Source organism: Homo sapiens, chromosome X, assembly GCF_000001405.40.
Source record: "Homo sapiens chromosome X, GRCh38.p14 Primary Assembly".
Classification (NCBI taxonomy): domain Eukaryota; kingdom Metazoa; phylum Chordata; class Mammalia; order Primates; family Hominidae; genus Homo; species Homo sapiens.
The window spans coordinates 117,974,753-117,989,273 of NC_000023.11; the positions used below are offsets into that span (position 1 = coordinate 117,974,753).

The 14,521-nt window shown below is 34.4% G+C and overlaps 1 protein-coding gene across 5 annotated transcripts in view; it reads right to left on the reverse strand.

Moving 5' to 3' along the window:
* Positions 1-14,521, reverse strand: part of KLHL13 (kelch like family member 13) — a 219,528-nt gene that overhangs the window by 76,940 nt on the left and 128,067 nt on the right. The window contains exons 1-2 of one of the 5 annotated variants that reach the window (NM_001168299.2): positions 10,488-10,577; positions 8,728-8,793 (exon numbers count right to left, since the gene is read on the reverse strand). The exons of the other annotated variants lie outside the window; for them this stretch is intronic. Of the exons in view, the coding sequence (NP_001161771.1) occupies positions 8,728-8,793; positions 10,488-10,528 (107 nt within the window). The 5' untranslated portion in view covers positions 10,529-10,577. Of the gene's footprint in view, positions 1-8,727; positions 8,794-10,487; positions 10,578-14,521 lie in introns of those variants that run through there. 5 annotated transcript variants of the gene reach the window in all.

Genomic DNA, 14,521 nt, shown 5'->3' on the forward strand with positions numbered 1-14,521 from the left:
GAGAAAGCTTATTTTGAAAGATTGACAAGTAATATATGAACTTTGTAAATATTAAAATTATGTCAGCCATCATTACCTTACATACAATTTTTATTCAACCTATCATACAAAAGAAACAGCCCCCAAAAACCCAGTCAAGCATTTTAAAGGGTTAAATTACATATCCAACTCCTTTTAGTACTTGCACACAAAACAGACTCACAGAAATTGTCAAATGAGTCAGAGAAAGGAATATTTATCAATGCGCTAGTGGCCAAAATATATTTAAAAGTTTTTTTTAACCTGCCATTAATACACATAAATTATAGTCAATATTTTACATTAGAAGGCTTTCTGCAATAATCCTTAATGGTTATATAGCAAAAAGGCCTCAGGTATAATCAGCAGGGGCAACTTGTTTGAAATCCAAAGAAGGAGAAATACATACACACACACACACACACACACACAGCCACACACATGTATGAACACATCAAGTTTGAAATGTCTTATTCCACAGTGAGTTTCAAACAAATTTTCAAAACCCGAAGCATTTGCAAACATTTAAAAATATAAAACATAAAGCAGCTATATATTATGTAGTAAGGAGGTGATGTTTTAGAAAAGAGACTCAATCATTTTCCAGCTTATGAATCTTTTTGTTTGTTTGCTTTTTTGAGATGGAGTCTCCCTCTGTCACCTAGGCTGGAGTGCGGTGGCACAATCCAGGCTCACTGCAACCTCTGCCTTTCAGGTTGCAGCAATTCTCCTGCCTCAGCCTCTTGAGTAGCTGGGATTACATGCACCTGCCACCATGCCTGGCTAATTTTTGTATTTTCAGTAGAGACAAGGTTTCACCATACTGGTCAGGCTGGTCTCGAACTCTTGACCTCAGGTGATCCACCCGACTTGGCCTCCCAAAGTGCTGGGATTAAAGGCGTGAGCCACCGTGCCTGGTCTACTTCACCTTCTGAGAATGAAGATCCAAAAACCTGTGTAAAAAACATGGTAGTGAAGTGTTTCCAGGAGTTTATCTGTCTATGAAGACTTCTCAAACATTGATGAGTGGAAAACAGGCAAGTTAAGGTAGAGTTTTCCAAATTCCCAAAAAGGGAACCACCACAAACAAGTGAAGATCATTTTATTGTAAAGATTATTATTCTTCTATAAGAATATCCTTCTATAAGTTATTATTCTTCTATAAACAATCAACTGATTCAAAAAAAACAACATACTTTTGTCGAATTTCATTGGGCTCCAAAGAAGCTATCTAATACCATGAATCTTCCAGGTCAATTTTTCAGTCTAGATTCCTTGCAGACTTAATATTTAATATTTGTTTTTGTGGTACCCCAATAATTTTAATATTTGTTCAGCATGAAAAGAAAGTAAGGCTGCCTCCCTACACCCCATCCTCAGCACTCTAAAACACCTAAAACCCTAAAAGCATTATATCTGATGGTGGAGATGTATATATATTCAGTTCTTACTTTTCCTTTAATAAATTATTAAGTCACTTATAATTACCTCTCATGAGCAAACAACTATTATGCCAAAGTCCTTAAAAATAATCCCTTTAATCAGAAATACAGTTCATGAACAACACTTTACACTATTAATTCACTTAACAACACTATTCCTCACATATTATTTAGAAATAAACTTCAGCCAGGTAAAATCATCCTAATTACAAGTTGGCAGCATCCAAACAAATCAGATGTTACTACCCTGGTGGAGAATCCAGTCATAACTATGGAGTGTAATTATAATTCCCATTACATTCTAGAACTAAAAATATGTTCACCTATGGAATGAACAAAAATGATTCAACATATATTTTAAATATAATTTTATGCAGGCTCAGTGTCCCACTACTTTAATATTTAGAATAGCAAATGTCAAAAAACCCTTGGTCACATCGTAGGAAACACTTATTTTGATTACAGAACACTTGGCTTCTATTATGTACAATTGCATAAAACAGGAGAGAAAGACAACATACATAAAAGCTCTTCGACGCATTTTATGAACATTAACTAATCAGTTAAAAAATACCTGTGAAATGCACAGTTCAGAGACGTAACAAACAAAGGACAATGATGGGTCTTGGCCAAGGCTACAAAAAGAGCCAACTCTTAGAATGTAAAAGGAGAAGATTTGTTGAAATTTTAGGACTCTAAGAATTCATTTTTCTCAGTACCCTCATTGTATAAACGAAAACACTGAAACCCAGAGAAGCTAACTTGCCCAATGTTGTATCACAAGCTAGCAGCAAAAGAGAAACTAGAAACCAAATTTCAATCTCCTAGTATAGGACTCTTGTAGAATCCCTACTGTTCTTCCCAATGAGACCATTCCACAAGATGCATGTTTCTATTTGAAGTGAACCACACTCTATAAATGTCTCAATGTATTCTAAAGAAACAGGATTACAAAGAGATATCAACTCCTCCAATTATATGTTCACTGAAAAATAGAAGTGGGAGAAAAACACCATAAAAGAAAAGCTGTGCATGAAGAACCATTTCCAAAATCTTAATTCCAGAAGATGTTTAAGAATGTTCAGGAAGAAAATATAATTTAAGCAGTCACAGTATAAGAGAAAACGTAAATATATTGCCAATACTCTGATTTTTTTTCTCAATGCATATGTTCCTAAATAATTTTATAGTAAAACTTAATTTGCTAACTGACTAGTATAGTTTGTCACCAGTACCACCTCACCAAATGAACTAATATATCATGTTTCTAATCTCTTGCTCCATTTTTTTCCTGATGTCCCCTAAGAAATTATCTACTTTTTCATGCAAGTTTTGGTTAATCCTGTGGTAGGTACAGCTAAAGACTAATAGCCCTAGCCAGAGTTTGTATGAACAGGCACTGTGTAATCTTTTCAGTTCTGAAATGTCTCTTCAGATTAATCTAAAATATCCATGTTATTCACAATGCTTAGACAAGACTGCAGATCATGCCAAATTGTGTGCTTTGTTTATGTTCCACCAATCAGTAAAAGTACTTGGATAGCAACCAAATAGGACGGTTAAACCCTTTAAAACACACACAAAATTCTGGACAGCAAAGCAAAATTCTTGATACATTAAGGGTTCCTTCTTACAGGAAATAAAATTGTTCACATTCATGGCTATGTACACTTATACACTTACATGCATGTGTGTTTGTGTGTATCTCTTAAACACATATATGACTATATATTCGTGCATGTGTGTCTCCTTTATTTGTTTCAGGAAACTATCAGATACATTTAAAATTTCTTACTAGATACTCAGATATGTAGTCTTGCCACAATAAAAAATGGAAAATCCCAGATGTTTCTCAAAGACAACTACATTGGAAAGTTTTACATTAGAAATTTCTTTAACAGAACTGTGTGAAACCTAGTAGGCCAACAAAGAATCTACAAAGACATTCCCTTTTGTAGCTATGACTATGCCTTGGATTTATATCAAAGGTATCAAGAAATATAAATTAGTCAAAATCATCAAACAATACAAACAATGTTATGCAGGCACACACTCATGTATATGCGTAGAGAATTCCTCACACCATGATGGCATAAGCAATGTGAAGGGCAGTAATTCTTCCTATCTGTAACATTTCCTTAAGATAAGAAGGGTGCCATGTTGGGCAGAGAAAAAACAGCAATAAGAGATGCTAGTGTGTTGAAAAGGCAGGAACACTAGGTAATGGATCCAAAGGAGAAGACAATAGGGGTGAGGAAGGTAATGGCTGGCTGTAAGGGGAAAGGAAAGCCAGAGTGGTAGTAATTCCTGATATTTACATAATACTTTTTATAGTTGGGTGTCAGATGAAAGAGGTTATGGGGCTAAGATAGGAGCTGGGATGAGTGGGCAAAAATACAGAGAGACTGAGCAGAGAACAAAGATCCAGTTGTTGGGGACCCGATGATCCACAGATTATGACTAACTTTACTCCTTCACTAAGGCTGTAAAAAGGAGTAACACTGAATGGGAAATTCAGAAGTTCTTGCCCTTCCTTCTTCATTTTGTTTTCTGGCACTATCTATACTCTTTATGGCTTTTCTTTTTTTTTTTTTTTCTACCCGTGTATGCTTCAAAGTATTCCCATCTGTTTAAAAAAAAAAATGCTTTAAACTCCAAACCAGGATGTTTGTGTATGCTTGGGGTTGTGGTAGTGGAAATCAATGGTTTTTATTTTATTTTATTTTTTTTATTTTTGAGACAGAGTCTCATTCTGTAGCCCAGGCTGGAGTGCAGTGCCACGATCTTGGCTCACGGCAACTTCCGCCTCCCAGGTTCAAGCAATTCTCCTGCCTCAGCCTCCCAAAGAGCTGGGATTACAGGCATGCGCCACCACGCCCGGCTAATTTTTTGTATTTTTAATAGAGATGGGTTTTTACCACGTTGGCCAGGCTGGTCTTGAACTCCTGGCCTCAGGTGATCAGCCTGCCTCGACCTCCCAAATTGCTGGGATTACAGGCGTGAGCCACTGCACCTGGCAAATCAATAGTTTTTAAGTATATATACTATGTACTATTTACATATGTGATTTTAGATTACCATTTTTAAATTGTTTGGTAAGAGCAATACAGAGAGACGATTTATCATCATCAGTAGGGGTAACATATCCAATGCTCCAAAAAGAGGCCATGCTATTACCACACCCTGTGCTATAGCTATTTTACTTCATCTGCCCAAGATGTCTTTCCCAAATTCCTATGTGTCCTTCAAGAAGGAATCCCTAAATCTTTGTATCTTCCTAATCTAGCACCATTCCTGGCCCGTTGGAAAGCACTCAATAAGTATTTGTTGAGTAAATTGAAAGGGAAATTTATAAACAGAGGAGTGAAAATCAGAATTATATATTGAAGCCAGAATATATCCTGAAAGATTTTTAAAACACTGTTGTTAAACCTGCTATTACCAAAAGCAGAGGTCAAGAGGGATATTTATCTGTTAATTTGATAATTTTAGGCTATAATCTCCTTAAAATGAAAAAATATGTAGAAACATACTATCTTATTAAAAATAAGCATATATTGAAGGAAATCATCCAGAATATATATATACTTTCTTAAATAAAATAAATATTCCAATAAAAAAATCTCTATCACCTGAAATAGTGATCACTCACCTGTTTAGTCATCTCTCAGCAACTTCCTAAGTATCTCCTTAAACTACTTTGAGTAAATAAAATAGTCAAGCTATTGTTAGCTTTTCTGATTGAATCTGTGAACTTATCAAAATAAAAAGCCACTTAAAATGTACAGTGCAACTGAACAGTTAAGAATATGGCTCTATTGAATGAAAATACATTCATATGAAGCTTTCCAAATAGTTTCACTTATTTTTTTTAATTTTGGTAGCATCAAATATAGAAGCAAGACTGCCAAAGTGGCATGAAGACAATGTAAGGAATACTGAAATCTTTATATTTGTAAATCCTGCACTATTTTGGTAAGAATAAACAACTTCTAATAATGTTTATTTATGATGGTTGAAAATTTTTTCAGTAATAAGCATATCACATACCAAATCTCAAAAGACATGCCAGTTACAGAAATTCAACATTTGCCATATTCTATATTATTTCAGAAATACCTATACTTTTCTAAAAGTCTGAATTTCTGAAAGATCTTTAGAAGAGTATATTTTCTTCAACATCCCAATTTTAAATTAATGAAATAGTACTACTACCTTGAAAAATGTATATTTACATCCAAAAAGTTATTACAACATTCACATGTGCATCATAAATGTTATAACCAAAAATGAGGTTAGAAGATCACCTGGTTATCCAATCTCTTCCTCTTCCTATTTATAAATATTGGTTAAAAATACTTATAGAGTAATCAAAATAACATTTTGCTAACCAGCAGCACTTTCACAGAAAGCTAATCCTAATGACTAATTAAGACTATTTAACACTATTTAAATTTTCTATGAGAAAGAGCCATTTATATTCAATTGCTTTAACTTTTACCATTTCCTAGGTTTAATCATTAAAACTGAATTTCATATACATATGCCCACAGAAACTACTGTCATCTAAAAATAAAAGGTTTTGACCAAATAATGAATGAGAAAATCTTACACTTCAAAAAAGGCTCAATTTCAAACTTGAACCTTGTGACCCATTGCCATAATATGAAACCCAACAGTTTTCTTAAAGATGTCCTTATGGTAATGTTATTTGCCCACTATGCCACTATCCAAGAGACTTAGCAACCTGGTCAATACTTCTATTTTCATGACTATTTCCAGATCCTTTTCGTTTTCCAATTTAGAATTCTTCTCTTTAGCGATTTTAAATTCTACAAACAGCTAAAGAGTACAGAGACAGTTATACTGAAAGATGCCAAGTGTATGGTCATAGGTCTAAATTGTAGACTCTAGCTGAAAAGTATGTAATTTAAAATTGCTGTGCCTGCAAACAGAAATTCAATTAAAATCCTATGATGTACAACATCATTAGCACATGCCACATCAAGTGTTCATGTGTTGTAAAATAATCACAGCTTGTTTTGGCATTAGGTTTAGCTTTATTATTTGGATGCAATGGCTATCCAATGAAAGGGAAATCATTTCTTTTCCTTTATCTCATGGTCTACTACTAACCAAAGTAATTCCATTTTGAATAAAAACAGAATTCATCTTCTAGGTTGAATCTAGATTTAAGCTAGAGGTAATCTAAATCTGGGTTTCTTGACTTCCTTTCTATGTCTGTCTACTTCAACTAATAAGTTCAGAACCACTTCATGTCTTCAAAATCAAATATATGTTTTAAATAATCAGTTACTTCTCATAGAATTCTGAAGCTACATTTTCCCTTTAGCTAGCATACATTTATTCATTCATTCCTTATTTCCTTATTCAGCTTGATTTAAGTCAGAGACACTTGAGCATTTTTATGAATCTTCCACTACAGGGTCTAGGCATTTGTTTAAATTTCTATGATACTGTTCAGAAATTAAACAAAAATATTTATGTTTAGGGGTTTCTAGAAATATCAATTTTTCAGATTCAGATTTGTAAAGCACAGAACAACATAACATGTATTCCAAAAAGGGTGAAGAGGCAAGATCGAGCTTGAATGGATACTCTAAACAGGGAAAAAGCACATTTATTAATTAGGACCACACTTTCACATCTGTCAACTAAAATACAGTTATTTCAACTGAAAACTTCTTAGTATATTAACCATTACTGACAGTGTAAGATTGTCTCCTTTAACTTCACAAATGAAATCAATCAACTTACTCTGCCTAGCCCAAAACCCCTAGAAAGGAGATACATGCTCAGTGAGTTATTTCAGTCATCAATAAGTATCAATAACTTATGACTTTGCTAGATGTTACAAATACACAAAAGAACACATGTTCCCTGGCCACAAGACCATTATAATCTAATCAGGCAGACTAGATATACACATAGGAAACACAAATTAGTGTAAATACATTGTTACAGTAAACCCTTAACTACCAGAACCCTGAATAGCCTAGTTTTCTATACAGTTTTTTAAATTACTTTACAATAAAAACAACTGGGAGATGTTATTAAAATATCAAAACTCACTTATTTTTCACCTTTTGGCAGAAATCTTTCTGCCCCTCATGTCTAAAATAGACACAAACCTTTATAAAATACGTCAAAGTCACCACAATGAACAGTAGCTATTGTGACATGCTTCAGATGTACATCCAGCAATGTGTGCAAATAATATCTGTCATTCATCACTCTTGCTTGCCCCTTGCTCCCCACTGCCCTGGTTAATATGGTTTGACATGGAACACAGAAGTTGCTGAGAGAAAAGTGGTTCTTTTCTCTATGCTGCAATACATATACCAAAAGAAAAGTTCTTTACCTTTAAGGCAGATGTGCTCAAACATTAGTGTGCATAAGAATCACATGAGGTGATTATTTAAAATGTAGATATCTGAAGGTGGGGCCCAGTACTCTGCATTCTCAACAAGTACTACAGCTGATTATCACACCAGGTCTACTAAACTATTAGAGAAACACTGCTTTAAAGTCAAGGTTGCTAATTCCTGCTGAATATCTCTTAGCTATAGTAAGATTGTCTTCTTTCTCAGTCCCTGGCCTGCCTTAGCATATGAACACTGGCTGCTCAACACCAGTTGTCATAGCAAACTGTACATCCATTATCTTGCCCTCCCACACTCCAGATCCTTCTAGGTCTGGGAGAGTCTGAAAGTAAGGTCTCCAGCTGGCAGACAGGCACAGAGGCAGACAGACAGATGCGAAGTGGGAAACTGTGAGGTACAACAATTAGAAAACAAATTATCTTGATTGTGTAATACAGATTAAAAAGTTAAAAACTTGTTTCAAACTTTTTCCATGAGGAAGAAGGCAGAAGAGACAGAGCTAGGCATCTGTGGTCCAACTGCAGCTGTGTCCCTGGTTAGCTTTCTGACCTCCAGTGTTATCTTCCCCCATCTGTAAAATAGGGAAAATGCTGCTTTCCTTGCCCGTCTCACAGTGTTGTCGTGAAAACCAAAGTAATTTATGTTTGTGAAAGCATGTTGGAAAATATAAGGCACAATACAATGATGCGTGGCATTTTTAACAGCATGATTTACATACTTTTTTCCTAATAAACACAGTGCCCTAGCCATTACTGTAACTATACTTGATAACTGTCTTCTAGTATTCTCAGGGTCTTTCATGAAAACCAATTCGCACTGAAAAAAAAAAAAAGGTGAGGAAAAATGTAGACCCCTGGACATACCCTGAAGTTGATTTTTTGAATATATCCTTGAAATCGGCTTGTTTTAATGACAATTGCCTCCGTCTCCTGAAAGTGGAGTGCAAAAAGAAACCTGGTTAATTGTAGTTTTATTATATTTAGTTCAAATTTTTCAAAGCATACCCTGACAGCATTTTAGCTGTAAATTAATAAACCATATTTATAAATCCTGAACAGTTAAAACCACACATAACAATTTTAAACTATGTAAATTAACTTTTAAAAACCCTTAACTAGAAAGCCATAAGATCCTATTTGTTTTTAGAAGCTTTCTTAATGTCTCAGAAAGTCTGGAATAAAGATGGGCATTAAGCATAACAATGATTGGCAGTTGATCTAAAAGACTAAACTAGCCAAATTTGGACACAAGGAGACACTTTTCCAGTAAATATATACTCGCCCCTTGGAATAATTTGCCATTTTGTAGCTTTTTAAGCCTAAAGGTCAATTCTTTGCTGATATACTTCTTTGCCATAAAAACCTGAAAGCAAATGACACATATTACAAGCTTTCAGAGAACAGATGGCTAATGTTCTTCTAGGTTCATTTACTACCAATTCTTTTTATTTTCATACTGCTTGTAATTAATAAAAACACATAAATAGATATACTGTCTCCTAACCAGAAGATTTGGTTTTTGTTAAGTTCTGTCATACATCTAGCTCTTTTGGGCTAATACAAAAAGCAACATTGGATAGACATACTTCTGGTACTGCCTCAGGAATCCAGTTTTAAAAATAGAGACCACTACAGAAGCACTACAGTATAGGCTGTTGACAGTCAACTCTCTTAAAAAATTAAAGTATGCTGGCAAATGTTTGATGAGCTCTAATATAAAATTTCATTTATTTCCATTTATTTCATTTATGTTGTTATCAGCATATAGAAAGTAAGCATTAGCCTTATCTCACTTTTTTTCAAAATAAACTGTCTTGGTTTTTTCTGGGTCATCTCACAAGCACTACTGCATTATTAAATCCATAACTATATCAAAGTCATAGTTTAATAATATCTTTAGAAAGACCTTGACAAAGACCTTATCCAAAATGTGATACTAAATCTAATAACTTCCTATGAAAAAAGTAGGTGGAAAATATTTTTTCTTTTTTGGAATGATAAATTCAAAACAGCATCTCCTTAATGACAGTACTATTTGAAAGTATACTTTTAAAATGCTATACACATAAACATTATTGTTGAATGATAAAAAGCTATAATAGGTCAAATTCATATCTGTCATGTTTTACAATTAAGCCCTACCAAAAAATAACAATTATATTATTTCTTTGCTTTAAAATGCATCAAAATGTCTTTAAATACAGCTTATTTTATATCCCTATTAATATTATTCCTTTTCTTTGTGCATTTAAAAAAATCTGGTATGCCACCTTCTGGCAACTGAGTGAAATTATGTATTTCTACATAAGTCACTATTCTTTATTTTAACTTTTTAAATATATGTATATATAGATATTTCTTACCTGCATTACATTTAAGCTATATAAATAAATCTATAACACAGTCTGAAGTAAAATAAAATTCCCTTAGAAATCTTATTCAAAATCAAGCTTTGTACATGCTTCCTATGATTTTTGCATGGTTACCAATATGTCTCCTGAATTCTACAATACATCTAAAATTGATTTTTGTATATCGCTTCACAGCCACATATGGAAATAACAGGCTTGCTATTTTAATGAGTAAGTAACAGCAGTAAATAAAGGAAAAGAAAGGTCTCTTACCAATAAGCCCATTTTTCTCTTAAGGTTTGAACTCTCATCATTTGTCATGTTCTTGTGGATCCCTCTCTCATCAAATTCTCTGGAGTTTTAAAGTTAAGAGCTGTGATGCACAGCTAGGCTCTGCTACATAGTAGCGCACCCCAGTGCATCTGCCTGGTACAACACTTCAGTTGTAGCTCCCAAAAGCAGAAACAGGCTTTATATATTTAAAAAAAAAAAAAAAAACCTATGTACTGCATACCTTCCCTTGATAGGAAATTGTAGTCAGTGTAGTTGAACTATTTATATTTCATATCTAAACTGCTGGCCAGATATGAAAATGAGAAGCACATATATCTTGAACTTAGTTCTGGTAAACTGAACAGGAACAAAGTGTTCATCTTTGGAGCAAAGGTGGAGTGAGACAAATACTAACACCAGGAAATCCAACTTAGAAAAAAAAACATGCTTACCTGAAAGTAACCTTATTTTTTTAAGGGTCACTATCCTGCTATTTGTTGTATTATCTTTATTTTTTATTATCTTTAATTCTTCCCTCTCTCTTGCCCATAGTTGCCAGTCATTAAGTCCTATCTTTTTTTCTTTATCAATCTCCCAGGAATCTAGCCCCTACTGTTTTTTTTAAACAAATGAGCTACTTCAAAAATACATATAACTCATCTCCCTGCATTGCCCGTCTTCAATTTGTCAATCCCATTCCATCTAGATCGCTTTTTAAAAATAAAACTACACATGATGTAAAGTAAATGATCAATGAATAATTTTACAGTAAGTATGTATTTATTGAATTGGCTACATGTTAGGTACTATGTTGGGTGGTGTGGATGTAAAGGTGAACCAGACACAATCCCTGGCCCTCAGGAAGCTCATAAGCTGAGTGAGGGAAGCAGGCATGTATTCTGACAATACAAAATATGGTGTAGAAGCTTTAGTAATATAAGCCTAGCATTCTACAGCAGCAGAGGAATAACAAAAATTCCGTTGCAACTGAGGCTGAAGAATGAAGCATACATCAAGTGAACTCTAGAAGAAATAGCCTGTGCAAAGAAAGAAACATGTGAAGGAATACAACATGTTGCAGGGATCAGCAAATTCTTCGATATGACTGAAAAGAGTTCAATATTACTGAAAAGTGGGTACATAGTGTTGAGTGGAGTAGATTTTAAGGTATGCAGAAACCACATCACAGAAGACCATGCACGCCAGAAAACAGGTTTGGATTTTATCCTGTGGGCTATGAGAAACAATCTGTTGAATGAGTAGATCAATCAAATAATTAATCAAGTAACTAAGCCTAGCACTAAGAACTCAGTACATACCGGCCAACCTACTCTTCCAGTTTACTGTAGTAAATCATAACACCAACTTCCAGTTCTCTATGTCAAAAGCTTTCTTTGTTCTTTCTCGCCTTTGCTCCAGAGGTCCCTCTTGCATGAAATCTCTTCCAAACTCCACTTTCCTGAACTCAACCCATTCTTCCAGATCCAGCTCAAATTCCATTTGCTTCTGTGATATCTTACATGGTAATTTGAGTCTATGGTTTTAAAAATATTCTTTCATTACAGGGACCAGAAACCACGCATTCTTGCTAATGTTTAGCACTCAATGTTGAAGAAATCTTTTTGATCCTTTGCCCACAAAATAAAAGAGGATGGTGAGAAAATCACACTAAGGCAAAGGTCAGAGCCTCAGAGTAAGTAAGCAGGTCCCTGAAAGCCCACCTCCCAGACTTCATAGTGCACGCTAATCTTAGTAACTTCCTTCACCACTCTGAGCCTGAAAAGGAACAAACATGAATTGTGAAGAGAGATGGACCTGTGTTGGGCAGCAACTCTAAAGTACTATGCAACATTGCTGGCTGTATACCTCACAGCCCTGGTTCAAAAATTCCAGGGAATCGATGAGAAAGGGATACCGACAGAAGAGCTGAATGATGGAGCTGTGACCTTTGGAAAAATAGAGCTGTAAGTGGAGAGAAATTGTGATTGTGCTTTACTACTCATAGTAAACCAAGATAATTCACCCAAAGATCCATATAATAAACAAAAGGAATTCATGAAGATCTCAGAAAGAGATGAGTGGGTGAGTGTAGGTGCTTGGGTATAGAAGGTTTAGAATCTCCAAGGGTGAGCTTTAATAGGAGGAAATCTAAGTGTAAGAAAGAGGTGTTTCAAAAAGGGTTAATAATGTTAGCTAGGAGATTAGGATAAGAAGCTATCAGAGAAACATGTCCTTGGGTCTAAATATTTAGTATTCTCTCTCTGTGGAACCACATTCCATTATGCTCAGTGTCAAATACCCAGTAAGTACGCAAGCTTTCGTTGATTTTGGCACTTAACATTCAGCTTTGTCTCATCCTTTTTATGTATGCACAATCTCTTAGATTTATGCAATGATGCAAAAACCATGGTGATTTCTTTTATGTAAACAATAAAAATCTTTCCATCTTAGTCAACTGTTTTATGTTAAAATGGATTAAAAGATTCTGCCAATAATTTCAAAAAGTAGTTAACACTTAAAAATATTCTCTCAATGACTTAAAGCATTCCCAGATAAAAGCTGTCTACACCTTCCTTCTTTTTTATTGAGTGAAAAAACTGACCAGTTGCCTTTCCACTAACTTATAAGGAAAAAAAGCAAGTACAGAATAAGAGGAGAATGTGAGTTGGTGAATGTGCCACATTTTCCAAATAATCTTCAAAAACAGGCAGTACTTGGGGGACATTAAAATGATTTAATCAACAGCACCTTCAGAAGAATGTTTTTAAACTGGGTATCAATGGCACCATAGATTTTAAAACAAAGAGAAAATAAGCCAGACCATTTCCTCATTTAGTTTTGTGAAAAACAGACAAATTGACAGATTATTTCCTTAGGGCCTGGTAGAAAAATCTCAACAACCATTTTATATTATATTTTGATTAGAATAGGTGTTTTATCCAAATTCACATAACTAGTTCATCTCTAAGTTGCAAAGGCAGAAAGGGAGGAGGGGTAACTACCTCTTGGAATTCCACAAGTGTCATATAATAGTGATTATGATGACAGGATCAATACTAGTCTAGTATAAATAATTCAGTTACATTCCATGTAAAATACCATTGTGTTATCTCATCCATAGCAGTACTCTTTCCCTTTCTTCTGATGTATGTAAGATGGTTCAGAGCAGGATGACTTAAGTGGTTTACAGAATTTTCTGTCCTGCTGAAATATCCATAGTGATAGATTTTGAGAACCACTGATCTAAAGAAGGGTTAGCCAGGAGTATTTATATTGGAAGCAATTGCTCATGCTCCTATAGTCTAGAAGTTCATGTTTCAAGTGATTTATCAGATTTCAGTAGATTACCACTCAATCTAATGGGGAAGATGGGGGTCAAAGGAAATAAAATGAATGGAAATGTCATTTGCTGCTACTAATAACTGCTGCCTGCATTGTCACTGAATTAGGAAAAATGGCAAAGAAGGCAGAAGGCCAAAGTCTCATAACCTCCCAATCCTAATTGAATGAATCAGGACCCTCTTATACATTTCTAAAATGGAACAAAACTTGTGTCCTACCACCATATGGAACAAGAAATGATAGACAGTATCTCATTAGTAATTCAAACTACTTAATAGGTATGAATTATTCAAGATTGACTACGAAATATACCAACTTATATTTTACTCACCTAACTCTTAAATCAATTGCTATTTAATAGTTACACTGAGAATTTGAAAGGGCCAAGATATACATGCCAGAACATTAGGAAGTTTAAAATTTTTATCATGTTAGTTTGGAAACATAGAAATAAGCTAAATGACATTTCAAAGACTAAAGGGCAGACATAGAGGGTTAATGAGGAAGTAAGAATTATTTTCCAACCTAATTTTTCTATCCAGATACTCCACAAAGTATTTTACTTGCTTTAAATGTCAGTTTAACCTCAGCCAGCAGAATTCCAAGTAAAAGAGTTTATTATACCTCTTTATTTTTAACAGTTTCATTTTCATTTTCAACCTGATCCTGAGGTAGGCAATGCAGGCATTAAT